The sequence below is a fragment of the Homo sapiens genome, chromosome 11, assembly GCF_000001405.40.
Source record: "Homo sapiens chromosome 11, GRCh38.p14 Primary Assembly".
NCBI classification, from domain to species: Eukaryota; Metazoa; Chordata; class Mammalia; order Primates; family Hominidae; genus Homo; species Homo sapiens.
Genome location: NC_000011.10, coordinates 1,037,633 through 1,059,303, shown reverse-complemented (window position 1 = coordinate 1,059,303; position 21,671 = coordinate 1,037,633). Strand labels below are relative to the sequence as shown.

The following is a 21,671-nucleotide window of genomic DNA, read 5'->3' as shown; positions in this document are numbered from 1 at the left end:
CTGGGACCCCGTCAGTGAGGATCAAACCCTTGTTCTTACGCACGCGTTTTTAGGGAGGTAACACATTTGTCACTTTTTTTCTTTATTATTTCTTCCTTTGTTTGTATGCTTAGAAAAGTGCTCTTCTCTAAAGATCAGATAAATATCTGACTCTATTTTCTTCTCACTCTTTTTTAAATTATCCTTTTTCCTTATTTTTTACCATATAAGCATTTCTCACATTAAACATTAAACATTATTTTTTATTAAACATTATTTTACTAAACATTATTTTAAAATTTTAAATTATTTTAATGGGGGTTTTTTTGTGGTTTTTTTCTGGGTTTTTTTGTTTGTTTGTTTGTTTGTCTCTGCGACCCAAGCTGGACTGCAGTGGCGCAATCTCGGCTCACTGCAAGCTCCGCCTCATGGGTTCATACCATTCTCCTGCCTCAGCCTCCTGAGTAGCTGGGACTACAGGCATCCGCCACCACGCCCGGCTAAGTTTTTGTATTTTTAGTAGAGACAGGGTTTCACCGTGTTAGCCAGGATGGTCTCGATCTCCTGACCTCATGATCCACCCGCCTCAGCCTCCCAAAGTGCTGGAATTACAGGCATGAGCCACCGTGCCCAGCCTTTTTTTTTTTTTGAAATGGAGTCTCACTCTGTCACACAGGCTAGAGTGCAATGGCGCATTTTATGTGTTTTTTCTGGTTTTTCTTTTCTTTTTCTTTTTCTTTTCTTTTTTTTTTTTGCAATAGAGTCTCACTCTTTCACCCAGGCTGGATGGAGTGCAGTGGCGCGATCTCGGCTCACTGCAACCTCCGCCTCCCAGGTTCAAGCAATTCTCCTGCCTCAGCCTCGCGAGTAGCTGGGATTGCAGGTGTGCCCCACCACACCCGGCTAATTTTTGTATTTTTAGTAGACATGGGGTTTCACCACGCTGGCCAGGCTGGTCTCAAACTCCTGGCCTCAAGTGATCCATCTGCCTTGGCCTTTATTTTAATTGTTTTTGAATAGGTAAAGAACAGATCATGAAAGCAAACCTCCCTCCTGCCTGGTCGCCCCAGCTCCCTTTGCCCTGCCCAGAGATGACAGATCACCATTCTCTATACTATTTTTACCAGGATTCTACGAGTCTAAAATGATTTCATGATAAGAAGTCTGTGATGATGGCCGTTATGGAAAACAGCATGGAGATTCCCAAAAAACTGAAAACAGAACCACCACGTAATCCAGCTGTCCCACTCCCGGGCGTGACACGCGGAGGCCACATCAGTACGCAGAAGAGACACCCGCACCCCATGTTCGCCGCAGCGCTGTCCACTACGGCCAGACATGGAACCAGCCTCAGCGTCCAGCAGCCAAGGAAGGTGCATCCACGTCAGAGAACTGTTCCTCCACAGAAGAGGGAATTGTGTCATTGGTGCCGACATGGATGAACTGCAGGACTTCATGCTGAATGAAGGAAGCCAGGCCCAGAAAGACAGACACTGCATGATCTCACACATAAGTGGAGCCTAGAAAAGTTGAACTCACAGAAGCAGAGAGAGGACCCAGGGACATAGGGGCTGGGAACTGGGGAGGGGTTGGTCCAAGAGTACAAAGTTTCTGTTACAGACCGTGCACAGTGGCTCATGCCTGTAATCCCAGCACTTTGGGAGGCAGAGGCAGGCAGATCACCTGAGGTTAGGAGTTCGAGACCAGCCTGGCCAACATGATGAGACCCCCGTCTCTACTGAAAATACAAAAATTAGGCCAGGCGCGGTGGCTCATGCCTGTAATCCCAGCACTTTGGGATGCTGAGGCGGTCAGATCATGAGGTCAGGAGATCAAGATCATCCTGGCCAACATGGTGAAACCCCATCTCTACTAAAAATACAAAAATTAGCTAGGCATGGTGGCAGGCGCCTGTAATCCCAGCTACTCAGAAGGCTGAGGCAGGAGAATCGCTTGAACCCAGGAGGCGGAGGTTGCAGTGAGCCAAGATGGCACCACGGCACTCCAGCCTGGCAACAGAGTGAGACTCCGGTTCAAAAAACAAACAAACAAAAAAATTAGCTGGGCGTGGTGGCGGGTGCCTGTAATCCCAGCTACTCCAGAGGCTGAGGCATGAGAGTTGCTTGAACCTGGGAGATAGAGGTTACAGTAAGCCGAGATCGTGCCACTGCACTCCAGCCTGGCGACAGAGCAAACTCCATCTCAAAAAGAAAAAAAAAGTTCCGTTAGACAAAAGGAATAAATTCAAGAGATGTACTGCACAGCATGGTGACTACAGTTAATAACACCATATTGCATCCTTGAAAATCATTAAGAGAGAGAAAAAAAGAAAGAAAATCATTGCGAGTAGAATTTGAGTGTTCTTACCACAAAAAAATGGGAAGTATGTGAAGTCATGTGTGTTATGCTGCTTGATTTAAGCACAATGTAAACACGTTTCAAAACATCACATTGGACATGATAAATATATACAATAAAAGAACAAAATACATTTGCAAAACGAAGCATTATTATTGTGCAGGCTCTGCTGGTCGCCTGGTCTCAGTTCTGGTCTTGGCTGGACTCTGGGTCTAGTCCTCTCTCCGCAGCAATCCGGTGTCCCCTCGACGGACAGGATCCCCGGCCCCGCCCGCCGGACAGCAAGCTCACATTCTCTCTGTCGATTCAGTGGGAAGAGAGGCCCCTGGGGACAGTCCCGACGTCGAACTCCACACGGCCAGCACCTCGACCCTGGAGGGAGTGCTCCTCCCTGAGGAAGCGGGACCTTCAAGCTAGAGTGAACGGTGGCTGTGTGGGCAGGCGGCTGGTGCGACAGGGACTGTGGCCGTGACTCCCACCCGTGATTCCTGGATACCATCGCCACAGAGAAGCGGCACCGGACATGGATGGCGAGCACCTGGTCTGTTCTGCGGGGTTGCGCCCGTCCTTTCAGAGGGCCTCCTGGCCGGCGCCATAACTGGTCTTCAGGGGCCGTCCCACGCTCTATTAACCCGCTGCTCCTGGGAGCACTGCCTGAGCATGGGATGAGTCCTGCTGTGGGAAGCAGCATCGGTGGGGGTGTGATGGACAGTGGGGTGCTGTCGAGTCCGTGGACGAAGCCATGGGCAGGAACAGCAAGTCCACATTCAGAAAACTGCGAGGGCCTCCGTGACAGCTGACGACCTGTCCCTGTCCTGTCTGTGGAGGGCCGGCGAGGCAGGCGAGGACCCGTCCCTGGGGAATGGCACCATGAGGGGACCAGATTGCTGCCCCTGGAGTCGGCAGGGCACTTGTGCTGCAGGGCCGTGCAGAGCCCCCATCCCGCCACATCCCACCTTCCTCTTGGGCCCCTGGGGCCTGCCTGGCATGGCTGCTGAGTGACCGTGGGCGCTGACCTGTGACCGTCATGAACATACCACAGGCCACACTGGCTCTCCCGTCTTCTACATGCCTCCATGTCTTTCACACCTTGACACTTTTGAGGGGCTCTGGGCAGGTGTGTGTAGAACCTCCCCTTGTTGGGGACGTTGGATGTGTTCTTATGATTGAGATTGGAGTTATGCATTTTTGGCCAGGAAACTGCAGAAACCACATGCTCTTCTTTATTTTTGTTTTTATTTTATAGAGACAGGGTCTCACTCTGTTGCCCAGGTTGGAGTGCAGCGGTGCCATCACGGCTCCAGCCTGAGCCTGGAGTGGGGACAGGATGACGAGAGCCCACCGTGCATCCCAGCGACTCTCCAGGGCACACTCTGGCTGTGGCTCGGACACAGACACCCTGGGCCCCAGGGGAAGCCTCAGCTGCATTCTGAGCTCCCTTCTGAGGACAGAAGTCAGAGGACACCAAGACCCCTCCGGAGGTCCCCTAGGGTAGGTGTCGCTCAGACCCCTTCAGCCTCTAACCAGACAGGAGCTGGGGCCTGGGGTCCCCAGAGGAAAATGAGGGGTGACTAATGAGGCTCAGGAGACTGGGGTGGGGGCATCTGACGGGGATGCAACTGGCACCTGGCTTCAGGGGCATTCGCTGATCCACCTGGGGCACCCCGGATTGACCCTGGTCCTTCTTTCCCCTGGAGCAGCGTCAGGGAAGGAAAGGAGCTGCCCAGTCGGGCCACGCTAGATCCCAGCACACAGGCACGCAGTGAAGAAGCCAGGCCACTTCTCAGTTTTGTTATGAAGATCGTTTAGGGCCCATGGTCTTCCCTGAAAGGATCCGGGGAACCTCCAGGGACCTGTGGGCCATGTGGGAGAGCAGCTGAGACAATTTATCACCTGAGACAATTATTAGTATCACCAGGTGAATATCAATGCCTGGGTAGGGAGTTCCCCGGAGCAGGCAGGTGGGAGCTGGAGGAAATGCTGTCAGCATCGCCACCCTTGGCCCCTTCAGAGCTGAAATTGTTAGAAGAGGCCACTCCTGCCTTTCCTGACTATCAACTTCCTCTGTCCAAGATGGGGCTGGGCCCTGGAGGAGACTCACCTGGCCCAGTCCCAGCGCAGGTCAGACAGGCCCCCTGCACCTGTTCCCTGCCTTTTTGGGACCTCAGTTTCCCTGCCTGGTCCCCGGTGGCCTCTCCAGGCTTGCAGCCTGCTGCTGGATGGAGCTGGTTTCGAGGGGGGTGGACAGCAGGTGCGACCCCCAAGCCTGCAGAGGAGCTCGCAGGCAACGCACCAGCTCCTTCAAGGAACAAACAAAGGCTGTGGCTTCCCAGGAAGAGCCAACAGCTGCGGGCCAGGGCGGGGGGTGGGAGGGGAGATAGTCCACCAGGAGGCTCAGCCACCCACCCCGCAGCCTCGCCCTGACTGCGTTTATGGCCAGATCCTGTTGTGGGCGCAAGTCCAGCTCCACTGCCCTCCCTCCTGCTGGCATCTTCCAGGAACTGGCAGGGGCAGCAGGAACCTAGGGACCCAAGAGCCAGGAGACGGCCAGGATCAGCATTTGCTTCTCATTACCGGAGATGGAGGAAATGGGCAGCTTCTCCTGCTGTCCAGATTGTAGGACTGGGGCGGCATCATCAAGAGTGGAATGTGACGTCGTCCAGCTCCCCAGACTCGGCCCTCCCGGAGTCCAGGGCTGCCAGGCTGCCCTCTGGCCCGGGGGAAGTGCCTGGGGAGGATGAAGGAAGCCAGAGGGTGCTGGGGCCCGGTGCCCATGCATCTGTCCATCGCGTTCTGCAGGGAGCAGCCTCCCAGGGACCCCACTGCCTCCCGGATCCCCGGGGGAGGGGCAGATAGGGGCCAGGAGGATGTTTGCCAGGTGGCATCCGGTAGGAAGGTTAGGGTGAGGCTAGCGGTTAGGGATTAGGGCTTGGGGTGTAGGGTTGGGTCTAGGGTTAAGGTGTTGGGACTAAGGGGTTTGGGTGGAGGCTTGGGGTGAATTTAGGGCAGGGGTAGGCTGGGGTGAGGGTAATTTGGGGTGGTATGTTAGGGTCAGGACCCTGGGACCACGCTGGGTCTGACGCATTCAAGGGCACTTTGTCAGCCATCAAACGGGGCAAGACGCTCCACCTGGGTGACACAGAGCCGCACAGCCCTGCACCTGTACCTACACCTGGGGCCCCTCCTGTGCCCACAGGGCCTCCCCTGGTCAGCTGGGAGGGCTCTGCTAGCTGCCTCCTATCCCTAAGTGGACACAGTCCCTGGATCCTTCCCCCAGGGCTGGCCACACCCAGCTGACCACTCCCCCAACTCCCCTCTGGGCCCAGGCAGTCACCAAGGGGGTCAGCCGTCCTCAGTCCTCTCAGCCACGCAGGCCTGGGCCTCGGGTAGGGCTGCAGGACACACCTCCCCTACAGCTGGGCAGGTCCATGGTGTCCAGGCAGCCTGCCCTGGCCCGGCCCCAGGTGGTGCCTGGCATGCAGAGGACCGGAAGGCGGCAAGACCCCCGCTGCCAACGCCCCTCTCCGGCCCAGATAAGGTTCTGGGGAAGTCATTTCTTCCAGGCCCAGCTTCGGGAGGGTTGCAGTGTCCACACACATCTCCCCCTGCAGCTCAACCAGGCGCCACGGGAGGCACCCAAACAGCTGTGGGAACTGCAGGAAGGAGGGGAGGAGAGGGCGGGGAGTGGAGGAGGGAGGAGCTGCCCAGGCGTCCCCCGCGTAGGGGTGCAGGCTCCTGGGGATGCTGGGGACTCCAGGTCCTCACTGGCCCTTCCCGGCTGGCCCGCCTTTGCTCTGCATACAGCTGGCGCTCAGCAAAGCTTGCCGCTGCTGATGGACAATTCCATAGCTCACTCCAGCATATCTGTGCCCCAGGAGACGGTGCCCTCCTGGCCCCGGCCTGTGCCCTCTGTGGCCATTGAGGGCCCCGCCAGGCCTGCGGTCACAGGCGGGGCCAGTGCAGGGAGGAGGCCCTGACCACAGCAAAGGGGTCCGCAGCAGGGGAGGCACCAGCGTCCAAGTGCCCGTGCCCAGGGAGGTGCCACCTCTGACACGGACAGGGCTTCAGGCTTGGGACACAGGTGCCGGGGAAGCAGAAGGGAAAGGGAGGGGGCGGAACCCCGGCAGCAGGTCGGCTTGGTGACTGCACACCCCACGGGGGCAGTGGCTTACAGGGACCCACAGCCCAGGAGGGCCTCACCTTCGGCCCCTCCCAGCAGTAGCACCAACTGCCGTGGCCGCCCACACTACCCTCGTCCCGACGGCCACCCACACCAGGCCCTCCGTGGCCAGCACTCCTGTCATCCACATCCCCATCTTGCTGATAAGCGGGCGGTGAGGACACAGGAAACCCAGGCTGTCACCCGCCCAAGTCCGGAGCCAGGATGGGTCCCCCAGGTGGGAGAAGCCTGGTCTCACCCCCAGAGTGGCCCAGCCTGTCCCACAGCCAGGATCTAATGCCAGTCTCCCAAGGAGTGGGCACAGGGGGGTGTCTGGCCCCCCCTTATGGGGAGGGAACTCTCCATGGGGGGCCAGGAGCTGGGGAGCCTCAGGGGTCACAAGAAGCTGGTGGAGCCAGGGAGCCATGGCCACAGCGTGGGGGCAGGTGCCCCAGGAGGGGGAGGGGAGGGCATGGCCTTGGTTGCTACCAGCCCCCGCACTGGCATTCGGGCAGCATGGGGGCACATTTTGGGCCTGGGGGACTGTGCCATCGTGGCCAGGAGCACCTTGAGAAGCCAGGAGGGCTGGCCAGGGTGGGGCAGAGCAGAGCAGGGCAGGGACAATCTGCCCAGACGTCTCACCACCCCTCAGACACCCCCAGACTTGCCTGGGCCAGGATAAATACGCAGTCCTTGCCCCAAGGCCCAGAATTAGGTACGTGGGTACCTGCATGTCTGGCCGGGTCCCCTGCCTCTCTGTGCAGAATCCTGATGCCCCCTGGCAGGCCTAGGGGTTCAGCAGAAGCAGGTTGCAGCCCCCACACCCCTCTAATGGGCCACATAGAAGGTGGGCCAAGGGCAGTGGATGGGGGGCCTGGGACACAGCAGCTGGGACACTGCCCCAGGACCAGGGTCGGGTCCAGGAGTGGAGAACCCAGGGCAGTGACGGGGAGAGCAGACAGACCTGGGTTGAGATGGTGTCTGGGTGGGAGTCCAGGGGGCCGGGGGCCCAGCTTCCCAGGTGCCAGGGGAGCCCCCGCCCCTGAGTCCTTGGTGAGCTGAGTCTCCAGGGTGTGGTGCTCCCAGCATCCTAGCCAGGCCTTGTGGCTGCAGAGGGACAGAAACCAGGCCCAGCTTCCTGCTGGGGGGGTCACCTCTCCCCAGGGGTCCAGGACACCGCTGCATCTGAAAATGAGCAGGAAAGGGGTGCTCAGTGCAGCCTCAGGGCCTTGGGGACCCCCTTGGATCTTGCCAGCTCCCGAAATGCAGAGAGAGAGTCGGGCAGTGGGGCCAGGGCTACAGCCCCCATGTCTCCTCAACGTCTGCCTGGCTCTGTCTACCTCAGGGAACCAGGGCTCCTCATACCGGACCTGGCCTCTACCCGCCCAGGGCGCTTGGAGCAAAGACTGTGGTCCCAGGTTCCCCGACAGTGGAAGCTTCCCTGCCCAGCCCAAGCCGTCTGCAGCCAGACCAGAGGCTGGTGTGGCACCATGGAAGGTTCCGGAGGGCGAGAGCCGTGATGCTGTAGCCCGCCAGCAGGTGGCACCTGGCACCCGCACCACAGCCCGGAGGAGGGCTGGGCAAGGCGTGTGCTCAGGGCCGTGTGGCCCAGGTGTGTGCCTGCGTGTGCCTGCATGTTGGCAAGTCCGGTGCCCGGGTGGCTCTCAGGCATCTTGGGGAGAACAGTCAGCCCACAGCCGGGCCAGAGCCCTCTGGCCCCATTGATGGGAGGCTCTGGGACAGACAGCACTGAGAAGGGAGAGAAGCTGGGCAGGTGGGGCAGGTGGGGCCACCGGGCAGGCGTGAGGGTGACCCTGCCAAGTGGCACAGGGACGATCTGAGTCCTGCAGGGCCCGGCAGCGCCTGAATAATGGGAGAAGCTGTGTGAGCCGTGCACGGGCGGGACAGCAAGGCGGGCGGGCGTGGGTCCTGTACACACGGGTGTGGGTGTGGCTGAGCGACCACTCGCCCTCTCACATCCCCTGCAGTGAGCGTGGGGGCACTGGCCCCTCATTTCCCAGCCCCGCTGGGCCCACCTCCTGCCTGGCCCTCCCAGGGACTGACGTGTGGCCACCTACCCCTCGAACCGCAGGGGTTGCCTGTCCCCGCCTCTGTCCCTGCACCTCAGGCCCATCCCCGCCCTTGTCCCCGCACCTCGGGCCTGTCCCCGCCTTTGTCCCCGCAACTCAGACCTTTGGTGACACCTGTGGGCTCAGGCGCCACATGGGGCCCAGGACACTGGGGCCGCAGCACATCGGGGAGGGGAGGCTGCAGTCTGGGCCCAAGGGCATCCAGCCTCTCCACTCCCTCCCCGGTGACCTTGGGCAGGCTGCCCCCTCTCTGTGCCTGTTTCCTCATCTACGTGGGTACAGAACCCGTCTCCACCTGCAGTAAATCCAGTGATGGCGGGAGTGTCCCGCCAGCTGCACTCTAGGACCCGTTCGCTACAAGGATTGCACTGGGGGATGCCCTGTCCCCAGCTGGCCCGGCTCTGTCATGGCCTGGACCCTCCCTGCCTGGGCACGTCTGACCCAGAGAGAGGGAAGGCCACCAGGGCAACCCCAGAGGCCTGTCCAGCTCAGAGCCAGCCCCTCCTGCACCAGGGTCCCCTGAGATTCACCCTGACAGGCAGCAGGAAGGCAGGGTGCCTGGTGGCCTCCTTCCCCCAGGGATCTGGGGAGGGTCTGGGCTGGGCTCTTCTTTGACAGGCCGCCCGGGCCCCACCTCAGGCCTGGAGGAAAGTGGAGGGGTCCACACCGTGGCCGACCCTGGGACTGGAGACACATGGGCACCAGGACACGCGAGGCCCATGGGGGCCAGGGAAGTCCCCAGAATCCCCACTCACCACTCTGGGGTGGGAAGAGGCAGGGCCAGCCTGTCGACATGCATCTCCTGCTGTCCAGAGAATGCTCCCGACGTCCCCATTTTCCTACAGAAGAGGACATCCTTGCTGGGAAGCCGGTGGCTGCAGCCAGTCAATGGTGACTCCCAGAAGGTTCCAGGCCCCGCCCAGCCAGAACCCCAGAGCCAGACCTGGGGCCACAGGGCATGACGCAGCTCTGCCTATACAGGGACAGGCAGCTGCCCACGGCCATGGGCACAGGCTTTGAGGAAGCGACAAGGCTCTTGCACCAGCAGATTAAAATGCTGCCAAGCGGAAGAGTCTGTCAAAGCTCTCAAGGAGCAGCTGGTTCAGGGCCAGCAGGTGCTGGGGTGGTAGGGGGGCCCCTTGGCTGCTGTGACGGTGCCTGTCCCTGGCTCCCAGCCCGGGAGCCCCAGCAGTGCCTTGTACAGCCGGCCCAGACATGCAAAGGGCCAGAGCCCGGCACGCGGCAGTGTTGACTGTCATCATTGTTATTGCCATCATCATCATCATCATCATCATTGCTATTATTATATTATCATCAGGAAACTCACCTACATTCTGCAGGCTGTGGGTGAGGCCAAGGAGCAGAGGGCTGGGGGTTGATGTGGGCCGGCAAGGTCCAGGCCAGGAGGGTTCATCCCAGGGATGCCAAGACCCAGCAGAAGGTTAGCAGGGGAGGAGAGACCCTTACCCCAGGGTGACCCCACGGCGGGGGCTGCATGTGGGCACCAACTGGAGGCCTGCGGGAGGCAGGTGTGGCTCGGAGGCTCTTTGGCAAGGTGGGAGCCGGGGGTCCCTTAAGAAGTCCACCTTAAGAGGTCCTCCAGAGTGACCCAGGGAGAACCATTCTCCAACCCACCCACTCCTGGATCTCAGGCTCCCAGGACGCAGAGAGACTCTGAGCCATCTCCCGGGTTGTGCTGCTTGGTTATGGTGGCCCCAGGAAAGCGAATCAAGAGTTGCAGCAATGCTGCCCAGCCCCACGAGCAGGGAAACCAGAGCCAGGAGGTGGCGATAGGGACTGCGGGTGGGTGGACCGCGGGGCTGGGGTGTGTTCTCTTCCTGCTACTCTTCTACATTTTTCCAGGTTTTATTTAGTGACTATGTTCCACTCTGTATTAAAGTATCAAGATTCCATTTCATCAAGGACTAGCATTTTTAGCAAAGAGAGTAGCAGAGGCCAGGATTTAGCAACTAAAAAACTCCAGGAAATATGGGAAACAACATCTGTCAAGACGGTGGACATCAGGCGACGAAGAGAGTGGTCCCAGAGAGACAGCGGGTCCCTCCAACCTGGCTGCTATCCGGAAACGCCATGGCCTGAGCGGCATAAAAGCAACAGACACGCATCTCCACGGCTGCAGAGGACGGGACGTTCAAGATCCACACTCTGGCAGATTCGATGTCTGGTGAGGCCACTCCCTGGTTCACGGACGGCACCTTCCCACTGGGTCCCCTTCGCCTCTGGTAGAAGGGGTGGGAGAGCTCTCTGAGGTCTCTTTTTTTTTTTTTTCGAGACAGGGTCTCACTCTGTCACCCAGGCTGGAGTGCAGTAGCACAATCTCGGTTCACTGCAAGCTCACTTCCCAGGTTCGAGTGATTCTCCGCCTCAGCCTCCCGAGTAGCCGAGATTACAGGCGCCCACCACCATGCCCAGCTAATTTTCATATTTTTAGTAGAGACAGGGTTTCTCCATGCTGGCCAGGCTCATCTCGAACTCCTGAACTCAGGTGATCCACCTGCCTCGGCCTCCCAAAGTGCTGGGATTACAGGCGTGAGCCACCGCGCCCGGCTCTGGGATCTCTCCTGTAAGGACACTAACCCCATTCTTGAGGGCTCTGCCACCTCCCCAAGTCCCCACCTCCTAATATCGTCACCTTGGGCACCAGGATTTCAACACAGGAACCGGAGGGTGGGGAAGACACAAACGTTCAGTCCATGGCAGACAGGAAACAGCCCTAAACTGCCCAGGTCACCGCCTGAGGGTTTCCAGGACAAGGGGCCAGGAAGGAGAACTCAGGAAGAGCTCAGATGAGAGGCCGGGGAGACCACGGCAGCTGGAGTGCACAGGACACTGGCAGGGAGAGAGCTGCCCAGAGCAAAGCCTGGAGACCTGCAGAAGGTCCGTCTTGAGCGTTTGGCAGGGAACCCGCTCAGCACGTGCCTGGGAGGAGACTAAGGCTGGCGAGCAACGACCCGAAGGATTGGAAGGAAGAGCAGCGGAGCTCACAGAGGCTGGGAAAAGCACTGCTCCCGCCAGCACCACCGAGAAACCTCGCCACTCAAAGTTCACGGTGCGGTGGGCAGAGTGCCCCTCAGGGTCTTGCCTCAATGGTGAGGCGTAGTTTGCCCTGGACTCAGCACTGCTCTGAGCCCACCTACGAGCCACACGAGGCCCAGGAGGCCCAAACTCTCTCCAATCCCTTAATTATGTCCCAGAACAAAGCCCCAGGACACAAAAGTATCCAGCAGCCCACGAGGTAAAATTCACGAAGTCCAACCTCCATTCAAAGAGTACCAGGCAGGTAAAGAAAGGGGATAATTCCACCCATAATCAGGAGAAAATTCAACTAATCCAAACCACAAAACCAACACAGATGTTGGAATTAGCCGACAAAGACATTAAAACAGGCGTTACGACAGTATTCCATGTCATCAAAATGCTATGCTGAAAATTGAACGTATTTAGTAAAAAACATGAAACATATAAAAAAGGATCCAAATTAAACATCTAAAGATGAAAATGACTATGTGTGAGATGAAACACACTGGACAGGATTAACAACGGATGCGACAATGCAGAAGAGGACAGCGGTGAACTTGAAGACATAATAGAGACACAGAAAGACAAAAGAATCCAAAAAATAAACAGCTCCTTAGCGAGCAGTAGGTGGCAAAGCTTCGCGCAGCCTGACACGTCTGTAAACGGAGCCCACGAAGGGAGAGGAGGACAGGAAAAATTGAAGAAATCATGGCCATAATTTGTTCAAATCTGAGGAAAACTTGGCTGGGTGCGGTGGCTCACGCCTGTAATCCCAGCAATTTGGGAGGCCAAAGCAGGTGGATCACCTGAAGTCAGGAGCTTGAAACCAGCCCAGCCAACATGGTGAAACCCCATCTCTACTAAAAATACAAAAATTAGCTGGGTGTGGTAGCAGGCGCCTGTAATCCCAGCTACTCGGGAGGCTGAGGCGGAAGGACTGCTTGAGCCCCAGAGTTTGAGGTTGCGGCGAGCCGAGATTGCGCCATTGCACTCCAGCCTGGGCAACAGAGCAAGACTCTGTTTCAAAAAAAAAAAAAAAAAATTAATGAAAACTAAAACCCAGAGATACAAGAAGCTCAGTGAGTACAAAGTACAAGAAACATGAAGGAAATGACACCAAATCCTAATCATACAGAATCAGTGTAAAAGAGAAAATCTTAAGTTGTGGGGTGGGGGCGTGTTACAAAGAGGAAACATATTAAAATAACAACAGATTTTTTTGGCGGGGGAACTTGTGCCAGTAAGAAAACTAGAGCAGCACCTTTACAGTACAAACGGAAGAAGAAGCTGTCATCCTAGAAAAACATCTTTCAAAAACAAAGGCAAAAGGAAGATATTTTCAGACAAATAACCATTGCAGTGTCCATTAAGAAATGTTAAAGAAAGCCCTTCAGGCGGGTGGAAAAGGAAATCAGATAGAAATGTGGCTCCACGGCCGGGCTCGGTGGCTCAGGCCTGTCATCCCAGCACTTTGGGAGGCAGAGGCAGGCAGATCACTTGAGGTCAGGAGTTCAAGACCAGCCTGACCAACATGGTAAAACCCCATCTCTACTAAAAACACAAAAATTAGCCAGGCGTTGTGGTGGGTGCCTGAGGTCACAGCTACTTGGGAGGCTGAGGCAGGAGAATCACTTGAACCCGGGAGGTGGAGGTTGCAGGGAGCCAAGATCACGCCACTGCACTCCAGCCTGGGTGACAGAGCGAGACTCCATCTCAAAAAAAAAAAGAAAAGAAAAAAGAAATATGGATCTACACGATGGAATAATGCATTTGAAATAGTAATTGTATGGGTAAATATAGAAGTTTTTTTACTATTTAAGCCTCTTTAAAAAATAATTAATTAAACAAAAATACCAACAATGCAGTGCGGTGTGAATCGTGTGTGGACACAAAATGGGTGACAAGAATTGCACAACCCAAGAGAAGGGAGCTGTGAGGCACCTTTTTTTTTTTTTTTTTTGAGATGGAGTCTTGTTCTGTCACCCAGGCTGGAATGCAGTGGCACGATCTTGTCTCACTGCAGCCTCTGTCTCCCGGGTTCAAGCAATTCTCCTGCCTGGGCCTCCCGAGTAGCTGGGATTACCGGTGCCCACCACCACACCCAGCTAATTTTTGTATTTTTAGTAGAGATGGGGTTTCACCACGTTGGCCAGGCTGGTCTCGAACTCCTGACCTCAGGTGATCCTCCCACCTTGGCCTCCCATAGTGTTGGAATTACAGGCGTAAGCCGCCGTGCCCAGCCTGGAAGGTTCTTCTTCTATATATGGAATGTGATAATATCTTTGGAAAGGAGACTACAGTAGGTTGTAGACATACTATAAACTCTAAGACAACTACTAAAATAATAAAAAGTTATGGCAGATAAGCAAACAAGGAGATAAAACTGAACTGTGGAAAAATAGTCAATCCAAAAGAAGGCAGAAAAGAAAGACAAAGAACAGATGGAAGGAACAGAAAACAAGTAGCAAGATGGTAGCTTTTCACCTGGCCACATCACTAATTACATTAAATGTAATAGTCTAAACACCCCCAATAAAAAGATGTGGATTGTCAGACTAGAATAAAAAGCAAGATCACTCTATAAGCTGCCCAGAGAATCTCACTGTAAGTAAAAGACACACATTAGTTATTGAAAGTAAAGGAAGAGGAAAAAACACACCGTGCTAACACAGAAAGAAAGATCAAGTGGCAATATTAATACAAAGGTAGACTTTAGAGCAAGGAACTGGCAATAAAGAAGATCCTTTCATAATGATAAAATCATGACCTTGGATTAGGCAAAGATTTCTTAGACACAACACTAAAAGCATGATGTGTAAAGTAAAAATTAATACATTGGGCTTTGCCAAAATTAAGAACTTCGGCCAGTCTAGGTGGCGCACGCCTGTAATCCCAGCAATTTGGGAGGCCGAGGTGGGTGGATCACCTGAGGTCAGGAGCTTGAAACCAGCCTGACCATCATGGTGAAACCCCATCTCTACCAAAAATACAAAAACTAGCCGGGCGGGGTGGCACTCACCTGTAGTCCCAACTACTCCGGAGGCTGAGGCAGGAGAATTGCCAGAACTGGAAAGGCAGAGGTTGCAGTGAGCCGAGATTGCACCATTGCACTCCAGCCTGGGCGGCAGAGCACGAGACTCCATCGAGAGAGAGAGAGAGAGAGGGAAGGAAGGGAGGGAGGGAGGGAGGGAAAGAAGGAAGGAAGGAAGGAAGGAAGGAAGGAAGGAAGGAAGGAAGGAAGGAAGGAAGGAAGGAAGGAACAGAGAAGAAAGCAAGAAAGGAGGGAGGGAGGGAAAGAATGAACTTCCGCTCTTTTGAACAGAAGTTTTGACACTTAATAGTATCTTCTGACACTATTAAGAGAATAAAAAGACAAGCCCTGACTGGGAGAAAAATCTTTGCCAAGTATGTATTTTTAGTGAAGGACTCGAATGCAGAATATATAAAGAACTCTCAAAACTGAAGCAACCCAATTTTAAAATGGATGGACAAAACGTTAGAACAGACACTTCATCAAAGAAGATACACAGAGGGCAAATAAACGCATGGAAAGATGCTCAACGCCATTAGTCGTTAGGAAAATTCAAATGAAAACCACAGTCAGATAGCACTGCACACCTGTTAGAATGGCTAAAATTTTAAAAACGGACGACGTCAAGCATACAGGAGGGTGAGGAGGGGCTGGAACTCACATCACGGGTGGGAGGCACAATGGCACAGCCATGCCGGAAAACAGTTTGGCCGTTTCTGAAAAATTCAGACGCCAACCACGTGATCCAGCCAGTCCACGCCGGGAGAAGTGGCAGCACATGCTCCTCTGAGACACGGACACACGTGTTCTAACTGCTTTGTTTGTAATTGCTGAAGCTGGAAGAGCAGGTGAACAGGCTGCGCTCTGATGGACATCTGGGTCATTTCCAGTTTGGGGTTGTTACAAACACCTCCTGGGAGCATGTGTGCGCACGCATCCGCCTCGGGCACTGGCCATGCCCCCAAGAGTCGGTGGCATCAGGACTGGAGGCCACTGCCTAGTACAGCGAGGGTGCACCTTGGCCACCAGTCTTGAGCCAGGGTCCGTGGGTAAGCTGGGGGGTGCTCCTTGGCCACCCTGCTTGTGCTCCTATCTGGGGGAGGGTTGGGGTTTGGGGGACCCCCGGGGAGCTGCTGAGACAGGGGACAGTGGACATGGGCTGCTCCGATGACCGGTCTCAGCCCCGATCAGCCCTGATGCCAGCTGGGAGGGCCTGAGCCTCTGGCTTCCCGGGGCCCCGAGCCCGGCTGTAGGGCCACGTCTGTGCCACCTGGGCTTCTGCCAGGCCTACGTGTTCTGGGCCCCCCACACCTGACTCTGCAGGCCATATGCACGGGGCCTCCCACGGGCCACACAGCACTCACGGCCGCTGGGCAGCAGATCAGGCCCAAGGCTCCCTTGGGCCGGCACCTGGTGTGAGTGGCCGGGAAACCCACCTGTTCCCGTCAGGCCTCCACTGTGTTTCCCCTGAACAACACCCGAAGAACCAGCTGTGGTGAGCCTGGGCGCTCCTCGACTCTCTGCAGGCCATGCCAGCCATGCCAGCCATGCCAGCATCCCCCACAACCCTCTGGACCAGGACCTGCCCCGTCACCCCTTCTTGCCTGGGCCTCAGTGGCTGCCCCCACTGCACGTCCAACTGCCTGGAATGGGCCCTGGATGTGATTCCTGAGAGAGACTCAGGTCTGGCTGCAATACCTGGAGCTTTTCTGGGGAAAAAAACAAATTCTTCAAATTCTCTGCAGGACCTGTGGCCCCAACGCCATTGCTGGCAGAGGCACCTCTGCCGGGGCACCTGCCCAGACTCCACGCCAGCACACAGCACCACCGCCCCCCAGGCTGGCTCAGGGTCCCTTCCCCACCCCCAGCTCTGGTCCTCAGTTTACCCACCTCTCCCAGCTTACTCTAGGCCAGGTCACCTTCCAGCCTGGTCTCCGACACCTCCTGGTGACCTGGCCCCACCCCCCACCCAGTCCTGCTCTTCACCTGGAGCCCTGGAAGCCCTTCATCTCACCCTGGGCTGCCCAGGGCCCCCTTGCTGTGAGCTGCAGCTGCCCTCAGAGGCCATTTGACTTGTGCTTTTGGGGCCCTGCCGGGCTCCCCAAAGGGAGTCCTAAATGTCACCCCCATGAGAGGGATGAGGATTCCTGGGAGAGAGGTGGTCTCATGAGCCTCAGCTCCAGCTTGACCTCCACCCCCACTTGACCAGCAGCCTCCAGAGTCTGAGTCGGCAGCCCAGGGTCCCCCCACCCTCCTCAAAGCCCCCTCACCAGCCACCCTCGGAGAGCAAGCCCTTGCTAACTCCCCATCCAGCTGCGCTCACTGAGGGCAAAAGGCGGCCCAATAACCCCTGGCCCTGGGCAGTGTGGTGCCCCACGGCTGCCCGCCCGGAGCAGTCCAGGGGGCCTAGTTCCCAACAGCCTTATCTGTTTGCATTTCACTCCGCATCCGCTGGTTATCAGCTCCAGAGCCCGGGCGGGGCAGTCAGCCAGACACCCAGCCGTCCCGGCAGCCTCTCCCTGTGCTCAGATGAGGGCGCCTTGGGTTCAGGCCTGGAGTTGGCAACGCATGGACATCTCCCCCAGGACATCGGAGGTGAACCCCAGCCCTCAGGATCCTGGTCTTCCCCTCGGGGCTGGTGGGGCACAGCTACCCCCACTGTGAGGGCCTGGCAGGGCTGGCCTGCAAGGAAGGCTCTGTCCTGAGAGGGTCTGCCCAGGGCCCCATGCCAGGGGGCGAAACTCTCAGGGCAGGGAGCAGCTGGGGGCTCTGCACCCTCACCTGTGGCACACAGCCACCTCCCATGGGATGGGAAAAGGGGAGAAGGTATTTGGGGTGCCAGCTGGGGAGATGACTCAGCCACCTACCCTGGGGCTCAGAGGTACCAGAGTCAGGTGTGAGAGGAGTTCAGGCCAGGGGCCTCTCCTGGGTGCCTGCCCAAGGCTACCGGCCGGCAATGCTCACCCGGGGAGGTGGGGGTCCCGCCCCAGCTAAGCTCCCACCTGGAGGGAGGAGTGGCCTGGCCAGGACCCCTCCTGTGCTGCTGCCTCAATGGCCCCGGCAGCCCGTATCCTGCCCCCACCCCAGGCTGAAACGTGCCCGCTCCTGAGGGCCCCAGCCTACCCTGACCTGCTTCCTGCACGGGGCATAAGTAGACAAAAAGGACAAGGGCCCCTCTCTGGAGGAGGGCAGGTGGAGAGCTCCCCAGCCCTTTCTGGAACATGAGGCTACCAGCCTGGGCTGAGCCCAGCCTCAGGCAGTGGTTCCTGCTAGCTACTCCTCTACCCACCCCGGACAGGCGGGCCAGCCCACCATCCCAGCCACCTCCAGGCCCAGCAGCTACCAGGGCCCCTCCCGCAGCCAGACGAGACCTTCAGTCCACTCAAGGCCACACAGTGGGCTGTGGGCAGCGGACAGCACAGGGCTGGGGCTGGGCTGGGGGTGGGGGCTGTGCGCACCTGAGTGTCCGGCTCCCAAAGGGGGTCCCAGGGATACGGGGGAAGGGCAGTGCCCCCAAATCCCAGCCCAGGCACCAAGCAGTCAAGTCTGAAAGTGCAGACCAGTGGGTGCCCGGGGAGCCCTAGCCCTCTGAACATCACTGGACAGGGGCTGTGGGGTCTCATTGAGGGTGGGCTGGTGGTCGCCCGGGTGAGCTGCACTGCCCGGCCCTTGCAGCTGCCCTTCCGGGGTCACGCTGCCCCTCCCCAGGCCTTGGGGAGGGCCCTCACCTGTGGCATGCAGCTGGCTCTGTTTCTACCTCCGGCAGGGTGGACCCCAGCAGCTGGGGTCAGAGGGGTCTGCAGGGCTGGTGGAGAAGCAGGAGTTGTCCAGGGAGGGGGATAGAGGCCAGAGGTCAGGGAGTGTCAGAGCCAGGCAGGGCCTCCTCTGAGGTGCTAGGGAGAATGAGGGGGTACCACACACTCGGGGCTGCAGGGCGGGGGCCACGGCAGGCCAGATTCGATGGGGGTGGCTGCAGGCAAGAGCTGGACTAGGAACGTTTCAACATACTCAGGAGGCAAAACCGCAGGGTACTGGCAAGCTGGACAAGTCCATGGGGAGGTCACCAGTGACGCTCAGGGACGGGGGAGAGGGAGAGGACCCAGGGCCAGCCCCACCCAGCCACACAAGGGCCTTGGAGGGAGGGTGGGGCAGGTGACCTCCCCCAGGCCTGACGCCCCTTCCCTGCCATCCCCCTGCCCCTTGGGGGACCTTGCATCCAGCCACTCTGTCCCCAGGGTCTCCAGGTTCCCACCGCCTCCCCAAGCAATGGGCCCCAGGACCTGGCACAGGGTCAGTGCCTCCCAAGACATCGGGCATCCGGATCAACAGGAAGCCGTGACGCGCCCCCTCGGGCATGCACCTGGGCACTGGCTGGCCATATTGAGCTCTGCCGGCCAGCACTGGGCCCGCGCCTCGGATGGGGAATGGCAGCGATCCAAGCCCGGGTGCATTCCCACTCCCGGGGTTGAAATCTTTCCCAAACACTCCCCAAACCCACAGTTTTCAATCCTTTGATCTGATGGGGACCAGCTGCCAAGCCTCAGGGGGTGAAGCCCCACCTGTTCTCCTCCAGGGGACGTCACACCTGACCACAGGGCCCAGCGGGGCAGGGGCAGGGAAGGGGCTGGCCAAGGGGCAGGGAAGGGGCTGGCCGAGGGGCAGGGAAGGGGCTGGCCGAGGGGCAGGGGGCCACCAGCAGGTCCATCCCAGCGCCTCTGTGAACACAAGTCCCAGCAGACCCAGGGCCTCAGCCTCCTGTGAGGGGAGCCAGGCCCGAGTCAGTTCCAGAGCCTTCTGGAGACACCTGCAGGGGTGAAGGCCTCAAGTCCAAGTGAAGGTCTGCTCACACCTGTCCAGGGAGCCCTGCGGGTCTAGGAGCCAGCGCCCACCCTAACGGTTCAGCCGGGAAGCTGGGGCCCGGGGCCCACCCTGACTCCCGCTTCACAGCCACACCAGGCCTGGAGTGACCGCTGTTCAGGGCCAGGCCACTTAGACGGACATAGAGGGCGGGGCCAGCGCTGGGCATGAGAGGGGACAATCACCCACTTGTCCAGTCCTCAGGCCCTGTTCTCCAGCCAGGCCCACAGGACATGGCTCCTATCACCAGGTTGCTCCAGGAACAACACCTCACACGCTTATCTCCCCCACTGCTCAGTGCATTCAAGCGCTCCCCGGCCAGGACAGAAACACCGCTCCCAGCCATTTGCCACCAAGCGAGTGCATTGAGAGAGAGAGACCCCCAGGCTCCGGAGGCCCCATGGTGCCACGATGGAGCCCCCACCAGGGCTCGGGGCCAGGGCCTTCTACACACTCGAGTGGCCCTGAGATCATGGGGACAATAAATTCTGGGATGCACAGCTTTCACCAGAAATTCAACCTATACACACACATGCACACACACAGGCACACACAGGTACACGTGCACACACATGCACACACACGCAAACACACGCACTCACAGGCACACAGGCACAGGCACCCACATAGGCACACACAGGCACGTGCACACACACGCACACACATGCACACACGTGCACACACAGGCACACATGCACACACACAGGCAGGCACTCACGTGCACACAGGCACACACATACACACGCACACACAGGTACACGTGCACGCACACATATGCATATGCGCACACACACATACACAATCACCACACACCTGCAAGCGGGCATCTTCACCACAGGCCCAGTGGGCAGCCCCATTGCAGGCTGGTGGTATCCAGCCCCCACCCGCCCCACACCTGTGCAAGTTGCAGGGATCCCCCAATTCTAGAGGACGCTGGGGACTCACATGCTGAACGCCACAGCCATAACCTTCAAGGTCAGGGGTCTCTGCCACTTTACAGCTGGGAAATGGAAGCCTCAGTGGCCAGGACCCGAAGCCCTACAGGCCTGGCCGGGGAACCAGTGTCCACTGGCTCTCACCCCCAACCCACCCCTGCCCCTACATTCAAAGCTTCATAGGATCCCTCCTGAGAACCTGAGCTCGGTTCTCACAAGCCCAGACAGGTGGTCAGACAAGCACAACCGCCGGGCTGACATGGCCACAGGGCTCCCAGCCATGACACCTGCCCATGAGGTCCCTTTTGGCACCAGCTGCCCTGGTGCAGTGACCCACCCAGGGAAGGAGGCCCTAAGATCTCTGCCCCTCATCGTCCCCACCTCGAGCCCGGGCTGAGAGGCCCCAGCTCAGAACGAGGGCCAGCTGTGAGCCCTGCGTCCATCCAACCTCTCAGCATGACAGGGCAAGGGCCTCACTCCTGTGCCTCAGCTTCTCACCTGAACCACAGGGACCACTGAGCGTGTTAAGAAGGGACAGCCAAGGCTGGACACGGTGGCTCACGCCTGTCATCTCAGCACTCTGGGAGGCTGAGGCAGGAGGATCTCTTGAGTCCGGGAGTTCAAGGCCAGCCTGGACAACAAAGTGAGACCTCGTCCCTACAAAACCGAAAAATTAAAAAGAAGAACAGATGAGAGTAGAACACCCAGAATGCCTGGTGTGGGGCTCCTGGTGGGGGGCAGCACACGTACTGCAATTTCCTACAAAAGCAACTTATTGTAACTTCAAGCAACGTTCCACAAAACTGAAGCTGATTTAAGTGAAACACGCGACACCTACTGTGTATGGCACGCGTGGCCCTGGGGCCTCTTCCGGGGGCAGGTGGGGCAGCTCCCGGGCGTGTGGGCACAGGTGGGACAGAGGTGGCAGGCCCGGGTCCCAGCCAGCAGGCTCAGCTCACCTGTGGGATGGGGGTGCAGCCCCATGTGGGGAGCCCGGCCCAGGGAGACCAGGCGGCCTCGGAGTCCCTCCTGGCTCAGGCCGGGATGCTGACGTGTGGTGGGAGCAGCCCCGAGGCCAGCGAGGGCTCCTGTCGGAGTCGGGGACCAAAATCCCCTTTGGGAGGGGTCCCTGGGCTGCCAAACGAAGCTGGGGCAATCCTGGTGACCACTCAGACCTCCACCTCCCTCCCCCCCGCCAGCCACCGGCACCACCCCGATGTCAC

At 58.0% G+C, this 21,671-nt stretch overlaps 1 protein-coding gene and 1 long non-coding RNA gene across 2 annotated transcripts, besides 1 other annotated feature; both read right to left on the bottom strand.

Moving 5' to 3' along the window:
* Positions 1–959: 959 nt before the first annotated feature.
* LOC124902605 (uncharacterized) lies at positions 960–9,612 on the bottom strand. The gene is made up of 4 exons (XM_047427955.1): positions 9,530–9,612; positions 9,342–9,425; positions 7,461–7,681; positions 960–5,065 (listed from the first exon to the last, which is right to left on the bottom strand). Exon 4 carries the CDS (start codon positions 3,521–3,523, stop codon positions 2,426–2,428), a length of 1,098 nt encoding a protein of 365 aa, XP_047283911.1. The 5' UTR covers positions 3,524–5,065; positions 7,461–7,681; positions 9,342–9,425; positions 9,530–9,612; the 3' UTR covers positions 960–2,425.
* Positions 3,540–9,424, bottom strand: LINC02688 (long intergenic non-protein coding RNA 2688). The gene is made up of 4 exons (NR_160890.1): positions 9,342–9,424; positions 7,461–7,681; positions 4,912–5,065; positions 3,540–4,190 (listed from the first exon to the last, which is right to left on the bottom strand). It is a non-coding gene; the product is annotated as a long intergenic non-protein coding RNA 2688 (long non-coding RNA).
* Positions 15,906–16,407: an enhancer, noted in NCBI's record as "H3K4me1 hESC enhancer chr11:1042897-1043398 (GRCh37/hg19 assembly coordinates)". NCBI's record gives its function as "activates a minimal SCP1, AML or CMV promoter by ChIP-STARR-seq in primed H9 embryonic stem cells {active_cell/tissue: H9 hESC(primed)}" and the evidence as "EXISTENCE:reporter gene assay evidence [ECO:0000049][PMID:30033119]".